Genomic DNA, 9,822 nt, shown 5'->3' with positions numbered 1-9,822 from the left:
GAATGGCATGAACCTGGGAGGCGGAGCTTGCAGTCAACCGAGATCCCGCCACTGCACTCCAGCCTGGGCAACAGAGCAAGACTCCATCTCAAAAAAAAAAAAAAAAGAAAACCTAAGTATAGTTTTATCTCACGCCTGTGATCCCAGCACTTTGGGAGGCTGAGGCGGGTGGATCACAAGGTCAGGAGATCAAGACCAGCCTGGCTAACACGGTGAAACCCCGTCTCTACTAAAGACACAAAAAAATTAGCCGGGTGCGGTGACAAGCACCTGTATTCCCAGTTACTCAGGAGGCTGAGGCAGGAGAGTGGCGTGAACCCAGGAAGCGGAGCTTGTAGTAAGCTGTGATCGCGCCACTGCACTCCAGCCTGGGTGACAGAGACACTCCATCTCAAAAAAAAAAAAAAAACCATTTCCAGCAGCCAGATCTTTCTACCACCATCACCACCCTTGTAACAATACTCTGATTTCCATCATCATAGGTTCGTTTTGTCTGCTCTAGAATGTCATATAAATGTAATAATACAGTATGTACTCTTTAGCGTCTTGCTTTTCTCCCCCTCAAGACATTTTTGAGATTCGTTCACATTGTTACGTGTATCAGTAATTATTTTTTATTGCTGTATGGTATTGATATAGTTCTGTAAGAATACAGCACAATTTGTTTATCCATTCTGCTGTTGGTGGACATCTGAATTCTCCAGTTTGGGGCTATTATGAACACTACTGCTAAGGACATTCTAGTCTAGTGCAGGTCTTTTGGTAGACATATGCACTCATTTCTCCTGGGTTTATGCCCAGGAGTATTGTGAGGGTCCTGGAGTGTGTTCAGCTTGAGGAGATGCTGCCAGACGGCTTCCCAAAGTGGTCGCACCAGCGTAATTCCCACCAGCAGCTGGATGGGAGCTCTAGCTGCTTCCCATTCCACCCCTGGCCTTTGATCAATCCCAGAAGCACGAGGTTGCCAGCAATTTCCTGAGGGTTTCATGTGTAGAAAAATAGCTTTTTTTTTTTTTTTTTTTGAAACTCTCTTCTGAGAATTCTGAGGCTGGAAGAGTGTGGAGCTGAGGGAAGCCAAGAATGAACTTTCTTATCTCAATGGGCTTAAGAAAAGTCAAGGTTTCTGGCTGGGTGTGGTGGCTCACGCCTGTAATCCCAGCAAGGTGGGCAGATCACATGAGGCCAGGAGTTCGAGACCTGCCTGGCCAACATGGTGAAACCCCGTGTCTACTAAAAATATAAAAATTAGCCGGGCATGGTGGCGCATGCCTGTAGTCCCAGCTACTAGGGAGGCTGAGGCATGAGAGTCGCTTGAACCCGGGAGGCAGACATTGCAATAAGCTGAGATCATGCCACTGCACTCCAGCATGGGCAACAGAGTGAGACTCTGTCTCCAAAATAAATGAAATAAATTTAAAAAGAAGAAAAAAAAGTCTTCTGGAATCTGTAGTGATGATGAAGCCTGAATGGGGTCACCTATGTCTCAGCAAATCCAAAGCCTGACGTCACCACCCACTGCCCCTGGAGGTGTTCGGCAGCTGAGAGAGGAGGTTAGGTCTAAGGCTCAACACTGATGTGCATAAGTGACCCCACTGAGGAGCCTGGAATGACAACATGAGGCTGAATGAAGCCCAAGGCCCATGACATGGGACCAGTGGGTGCCGGTAGCTTTTGGGAAAACATCCAAACTCCTTACCGTGGCCTTTAGAGTGTGGTGTTCTCTGGACCTTCTCTCCATCCCTGGCCTCACCTGTGTCTCTCCCTTGCTCACTAAACTCCAGGTGGTCTCTTGAAAGTGCTTGTCTCAGGGTCTTTTCACATTCTATTTCCTCTTCCTGACACTCTCCCCTTTCCCTGCCTAAATCAAAGTCATACCTCAGGGTTCAGCCTACAAAGAAGCCTTTTTCAATCCTCAAATTGAAACCAGACCTTCCTTAACATCTCTTGTCATGTTCCTTATCTTTGCTTTCATAGAAAGTATCCCAATTGATAACGACATTTCCATGACAATTTGTTTAGGTCTTGTCTTGACAAAAGGGTCAAGTTCTGTGTAGTCACTGCTATGTTGTGACAGCCTAGCACAGCACCTGCCAGATAGTAAGTAATCAGTAAATACTTGCCAGATGTGAACATGGGGAATTAAGAGTTAATGACTCATTTTACCCAGATGTGGTGCCTGTAGTCCCAGCTACTCAGGAGGCTAAGGAGGCAGGAGGATCACTTGAACCCAAGAGTTAAGTCCAACCTGGGCAACATAGGGAGACCCTGTCTCTAAAACAACAACAACAACAACAACAACAAAACAAACCACAACAACAACAAAAAAAGTTAATGATTCATTAGGTTGGTGATGAGCTGATCCTATTTGTGTCCCCAGATGTAGTCCCCCTTCTTCTTACTCTCTGCTCGGTGCCCTGAGGCTGCCTCTATGGGCTTCCTCCCTGGGCTACTTGACCCTTGGCCCTCTGATTGGGTTTAGCCAATGGGAGGTATCAGCAGGTGGGATGGTGGAAGGAAGAGGTTGGAGTATTTCTTTTCCAGGCTCTGACAGGTGCAACTGGGCACTGGACTCCCCCGGAGAGAGAATGACTGCAGTTGTACAGAGGCCTGTGGTCCATTTTAAGGGATTAGCTAGGCACCTTCCTTTCCTGACTCTATATTCCTAACGAGGATTTCTGTCTTTCTTAGGAAAGACAGAGGGTTTTGGATTGTGTAGTTCTTTGATTTTTGGTTTAGCCACCCATGCAGTAGCCAACCCATTCTGTGGCTTGCTCATAACCTTTGGTGTGGTTTAGCTAAGGCACTTTCAGATAACCTGTGGGTCCCATCATCATCCTCACCTGGCTCTAGCCATGAATAGTCAAAGAAAACTTCTCACTGAGTGGCCAGTGGCATATCATCTGGTCAACATCCACCCCAGAAAGCGGAGCTAGAAAAAAAAAGAGGAGGTTGCAGTTCCTTTAGGCAAGAAGCAATTATTGTTATTTCCTGGTCTGCTTTATTCAGACTCTGTTCTGAGTGCCAAGTCAGATCACAGTCACCCCTGCTCTGGAAGGACTCACTGAGGCAGATTTGCACAGTGTAAAGAAAAACTTTCCAGAGCTTAGACTCGTTGGAAAATAGAATGGAGTTTTGTCGGTGGGGGAATGAGCTCTCTGCCCCACTTGAATGACATTACGACATGAGCAGAGGTTGGCAGAAGTCAAGCAGCATGTAAGGGTTGACTTAGGTGATCTTCTTCCAAGGTTGTTTTCAAATCTGGGACCCCACCAGAAATTTTGGAAACTGCAACCTAGAGAAAGGATGTTGCTTTTCTATTCAAGCAACAGTCACCCTGAAGGAGCACATCACTTAAACCCTTTCTAAAGGGGATAAGAAATCACCCAAGAGGTAACAATGTCCAAGGTAATGAGGAGTAAACTGAGCAAACACATCTGGGGCATATAGTCCCAAGGGCAGATGTTAAGGGCCATGGGAGAGAGCTAAGAACGGGAAAGGAATCAGGTGGTGGTGGTTTAGAAGCTGACCTCAGATAAATGGCAGTGATCAAATCCAAGCTCTTAGAGTTGTAAAACATTCAAGAAATAGAGAGTCTTATTTAATTCCCATTTTACAGCTGAGACAACAGAGGCCCAGAAAGGTTAAAGGGCTTAGTGTGAGGGTGAATGGAAGAGGAGGGACTTGACCTCTGGGCTTCTTCTCCTACTATGGTGCTATTGTCTCTCCTCCTGCAGGTCAGTTTGTTAATCTGTGAAATAGATGGAATCTAGGCTTATCAAGGAACATTGTCTTTGCACCAAGCTGCTCTCCAAAGAGGGCTGGGTACCCCTGCCACAGTCACCAGTAGTTGAGAAGAGACACACTGGGTGCTCCTAAGCAGTCCCAAGCCTGCCTGGTCTCTTCTGCAGGGTGGCCCAAGGCAGGCAGCTGGGCCCCCTAGGCTGCCACCCAGTAGCACTCATTTACTCCCACTTGCCTGCCCATGGCACCAAGAAGGCCCAAGGTGCCAGCTGTCTACTGTGGGAAGGAAGCGAAGGTCAGCACCTGTGGGAAAACTCATTTGCTGACCACATGGTTGGCAGGTAGGAGGGTCAGGGCCTGAGTGAGCCCTGCCAGCTGGCACAGCTGCTGCCCAGGGGATGGGGGTGGTTTGGGTCCTCCTTTGCTTGTCCTTGAGGCCTGTTGAAACCTATTTGTCCCTCCCCTTAACACTTTCTCTTTTTTCCAGACAAGGTCTCACTCCAACACCCAGGCTGGAGTGCAGTAGTGCAATCTCGGCTCTCTGCATCCTCCATCTCCCAGGATCAAGAGATCTCCCCAGCTCATCCTCCTGAGTAGCTAAGACTACAGTTATGCACCACCACTCCCAACTAATTTTTGTATTTTTTGTAGAGAAGGAGTTTCACCATGCTGCCCAGGCTGGTCTTGAACTCCTGAGCTCAAGTGATCCTCCTGCCTCGGCCTCTGAAAGTGCTGGTATTATAGGCATGAGCCACCATGCCTGGTCCCCTCCCTTCATTCCCCCCTGCCCTTCCCCTCCTGGGGCTAGCATCACCTCTCTCTAGGCCACTGCATCTCCCTCCAGGTCAGCCTCCCCCATTTCCTAAAGTCCTTCTCAGCTTGAATCCTGTGGGTGGTTCCTCATTCCCTTCAGATGCATTATTCACATGTCGGTTCACTCATTCACATTCATTTTCACGTGGCTACAATGTGCTAGAGCTCTTCCAGCCTTGAAGGCACAACAGTGAGCAAAACATCATCCTTCCCTGCCTTCATGGACTGATGGTCCCATGGGGCACAGGCAATGGTTACCTATAAATACATACATAATTACAAATGATCAAAAGCACTAAGAAGAAAAGGCAGGTGAGGAGAGCTATCATGTAATTTGGGCTTTATTTAAAGAGAATAACTCTGTGGAGAGGGGTAAGAATTTAGGTGGCGTCCAAGCACCAAAGCTAGGTATGCAAGGGTGATATTTTAGTCCGTTTGTGCTGCTATAATAAAAAACCCAAGACTAGGGTATTTTATAAAGAACAGAAATTTATTTCTCACAGTTCTGGAGGCTGGGAAGTCCAAGATCAAGGCACCAGCAGATTCAGTGTCAGATGTGGGATGCTCTCAGCTTCCAAAATGCTGCCTTCTTGCTGTATCCTCATATGGTAAAAGGGGACAACAAAGGATGAACTCATGGCAGATGAGATGGAAGGACCAGGCAGCTCTCTGGAGCCTCTTTTATAAGGACATTCACAAAGGTGGAGCCTTCATGATTTAATCATTTCCCAAAAGGCCCTACCTCTTAATACTGTCACAATGGGGATTAAGTTTTGACGTGAATTTTGGAGGGACACAAACTTTTAAACCATAGCAGATGGACATTGATATGGGTTGAATACAGGCCCCACAAAAAGATATGTTAGAATCCTAACCCCCAGTACTTCAGAACATGACCTTATTAGGAGATAGGATCTTTACAGTGCTAATAAAGTTAAAATGGGGTCATTAGGGTAAGCCCTAAGTCAATATGATTGACATTCTTATATAAAGGGGAAATTTGAACACAGAGACACATACATCCTGTGAACATGAAGGCAGAGATTGCCAACGAGTGGCCAGCAAACCATCAGAAGCTGTGGAAGAAGCCTGGAACAGATTCTCCCTCATAGCCCTCAGAAGGAACTAACTCTGCCTACACCTTCATCTTGGACTTCCAGCCTCCAGAACTGGGGGGAGACAATGCATTTCTATTATTTAAGCCCCTCAGCTTGTGGTTCTTTGTTATGGCAGCCCCAGCAAACTAACAGCTCCCATATGACCTCTGCCCAGCCTAATTTCTGCCAACACCCTTGATGCCTTCCCAGCTGATAACTGCCTACATAGAAGGACACAAACAGTCAACACTCACAGTTCTGAACCTGCTTTTCCCCTCTTCTGAGCTTTTGCCCCTGGGGTTCCCCATGCCAGGAATGTTTCCACATCTCCACCCCAACTCCCAGGTCTCCCAGCTTCATTTCTCCTCCATTGCCTGGGGCTCCTTGCCAGCACGTTTCCACCTTCATTTCAGGTCCCAGGTCAAACTCTCTCTGCTCGCAAAGCCTGTGACATTGGACATCTGTTCCACATTTTCAGTTCCAGATCATACTCTCCAAGATTTTTCAGATGCCAGTAAATATGTGAACTCTATTCTTTCTAAAAAAAACTCTCACGGGCTGGGTGCAGTAGCTTACGCCTGTAATCCCAACACTTTGGGAGGCTGAGGTGGGTGGATCACCTGAGGTCAGGAGTTCGTGACCAGCCTGACCAACATGGTGAACCCCCATCTCTACTAAAAATACAAAAATTAGCTGGGCATGGTGGTGCGTGCCTGTAATCCCAGCTCCTCGGGAGGCTGAGGCACAAGAATCGCTTGAACCTGGGAGGCGGAGGTTGCAGTCAGCTGAGATCGTGCCACTGCACTCTAGCCTGGGCAACAAGAGCAAAACTCTATCTCGAAAAAAAAAAAAAAAGCCGGGCGTGGTGGCTCATGCCTGTAATCCCAGCACTTTGGGAGGCCGAGGCAGGTGGATCACGAGGTCAGGAGATTGAGGCCATCCTGGCTAACATGGTGAAACCCCGTCCCTACTAAAAATACAAAAAATTAACCAGGCGTGGTGGCGGGCGCCTGTAGTCCCAGCTACTCAGGAGGCTGAGGCAGGAGAATGGTATGAACCCAGGAGGCAGAGCTTGCAGTGAGCCGAGATTGCGCTGCTGCACTCCAGCCCGGGTGACAGAGCAAGACTCCATCTCAAAAAAAAAAAAAAAAAAAAACTTTCACGACCCCCTGGAATATTCCTATTGACTTCATTCTATTAAGCCTCAGCTCAGGAAACAAAAGTTCTGCTACAAATTATCACAACAAAAAGGAAGATTTATTTTTATAACTGGTAAAAATAGATTATCATCAAAATGGAAACACATAGTAATTTCTCAGAGACAGCCTGCCCAGGAGTCCTGGGAGTTAAATACTCCTATATCAGGGCGGACTCTCACCTAGCTGCACATGGGAATCACCTGTGGGCTTTTTAAAGCAGCCTGTGGCTTATGATTACCCTTTAATTGGTTGGAGTGGGGCCTGGGATTTCTCTGTTCCTTTCTTTTTTTTTTTTTTTTTTTAACTCCCAGGTGACTCTGGTTTGCAGCCAGGATGGAGAACAAGTGGCATGTCTTGATTGTGTTTTGGCTTCGTGCACCTTGGAGTTGTATGCAGGGTGTGGATTGGGGGGCTTGGAGCCAACCTTAACAAGCATTGCTACCTAGCAGGGACCCCAAAGCTCTGCATGCCTACAGCCTTCGGGTAACTTTGGGGTGTGCAGCCAGACTGTGACCACACTCCTTAGATGGCCTTGCTCGCCTTATAGCACACTGACTTAAGGCTAGAGCCTTACGTTCCCATGGTGATGCTGATCCAAGCTTGTACAACCCACGGCCCACGGGCTGCATGCAGCCCATATTGGCTTTGAATGCAGCCCAACACAAATTCGTAAACTTTCTTAAAACATTATGAGATTTTTTGCAAGTTTTTAAACTTTTATTTTTATTTATTTATTTATTTTTAGCTCATCAGCTGTCGTTAGTGTATTTTATGTGTGGCCCAAGACAGTCCTTCCAATGTGGCCCAGGGAAGCCAAACGGTTGGACATCCCTGTAAGTTAGACCCTTAAGACAACATGAGAAAGACAGGGCTCAAATGTTGCATTCATTTTACCCATGAGAAAGCTATGGTCCAGAGAGGTGGAAACCCCTTGTCCAGGGTCACCTGGCTTGACTAGAATCCTAAATGCTAGCTCAGTGCCCTTTTTCATTGCTTCCAACAAGACTGGATGTCCATCTGAGCTTTATGTTAATAAAGTCAATGTTAGTATGGCATATTTTCATTGCCCCAAAGACTCTATCCATGTGCATTCTGAACAATGTGCCACTTTTGTTACTTAAAACACAAATAGAAAAGTCCAATCAAGCTGGCCTCATACAACCCCTTAAATCTAGAAACCTGATCAGATTTGGTCAGGGCCATAAAGACAGGGCAGGCCTACCCCAGAGAGTCCTGGACTCCACATCTCCTCAAGTCAGGGTGTAAGGGCTACGGATCTGTGGGGCTGAGCTTGGACTCCCCAGTGGCATCAGAAAGTGGACCGTAGATACCCACACTGATCAGTAGTCAAAGTTCACACTGGTGATCTTGGAACCTGCTGTTCTTTACCTTCCTGGGGATTTTTCCAGCTGCATAACTGATAAAAGGACATAGGTTCCAGGAAGGGAATGTGGGAGGAGTGAGTAGGGGCCTGGCCCCGTTCCAGCTCAGGTCTCCATCTGCTGCCTCCCCTGCCCCTGGAGATCCAACCATCTCTGCCTCTGCAACTGGGACCCAGGTCACCACAGGTCACTCCAAGGTTCAGAGCAGTGCTTTGGCCGAGTGCTTATGGATGTGGCCAACAGCCCTGGGGAGCTTCCCCAGCTGGCTTCCTCTCTCCAGTTTCTCTCTTCTCAGTTTCCTTCCTATTTTAAAATTGTTTTTCCCAAGTCATCACACCCATAGCTGTCAGTCTGGGAAGCATGGTGAGACAGACTGTCCTTGACCAGGGAGTAGGGCTCTCACCCATGGCCAACCAGCCACACCCCCTCCCTTATACCTTGGTTCCAGTCACTACCCTCAGATGGTCCTTATCAATTCTGGGTATTGGCAGATGCCGCCTCCTCCTAGCTGGCCTCCCAGGCTGCGGTCTTGGTAGGACATCTTCCTTCAAGCCTGGTCCTGTAACCACCATCTCTGTGGAGCCTTCTTGTCTTGCTCCTTCCTTCTGAAATTCCCTGGCCTGGGACCTACCTTGCTTTTTGTACCTAGTAGGCAGCATCACAGTGCTTTTTCAGGGGCAGCCTCCCTAACACCAAGCACTGCCTGAGGGCAGCATGTCTTCTGATTTCCTCTCCTGCCAATGCCTGGCACAGGGGTGGGTACAGAGCTGGTATTTGATAAATGTTTGGCGAATCTACGTTCCATTGATTGAGTTCTTTGCCTGGGGTGTGGGCTCACTGCGGATGCTGCTGAAACTGACAGAGAACCAGAGGGTTTGGCTGTCTCCCACTTGGTGCCACCACCCAAGGGGTGGGTGTCCCTGGCCGCCGCCGTCTTTATCACCCTCGTCATCACCGCGGTTTACCGAGCACTCGCCTTGCACCCTGTCCTGTAAGGCCCCTCCTAAGGTCGCTCCTTTGATCCTCGCCACGACCCTGCTTTGGAGGGATAATCGAAGCCCACTCGCATTCAAGTCTTAAGTTCAATGATAGCTTGACGTGGCCACGCAGGTTAGAAACAGAAGTCGGTGGCCGGGCGCGGTGGCTCACGCCTGTAATCCCAGCACTTTGGGAGGCCGAGGCATGCGGATCACGAAGTCAAGAGATCGAGACCATCCTAGCTAACGCGGTGAAACCCCGTCTCTACTAAAAATACAAAAAAACTTAGCCGGGAGTGGTGGCGGGCGCCTGTAGTCCCAGCTACTCGGGAGGCTGAGGCAGGAGAATGGCGTGGACCCGGGAGGCGGAGCTTGGAGGGAGCCGAGAATCGCGCCACTGCACTCCAGCCTGGGCGACAGAGCGAAACTCCGTCTCAAAAAAAAAAGAAAAAAGAGAAAAAGAAGTTGGCACCAGGACTGCCGGGGTAGGATGCGGGGCTTGGTGAACCACAGAGAGACTCCCTGGGGGGAGTGGTGACTTGGGACACCGCGGGGCAGAAACGCCTCCTGAAAGAACGCCCGCTCCTCCCAGGTCTCTATGGGTTGGGCCCAT

This window comes from Homo sapiens, chromosome 10 (genome assembly GCF_000001405.40).
Source record: "Homo sapiens chromosome 10, GRCh38.p14 Primary Assembly".
Lineage (NCBI taxonomy): Eukaryota > Metazoa > Chordata > Mammalia > Primates > Hominidae > Homo > Homo sapiens.
The sequence above is the reverse complement of the archived record's forward strand: the minus strand, read 5'-3'. Positions refer to the sequence as shown.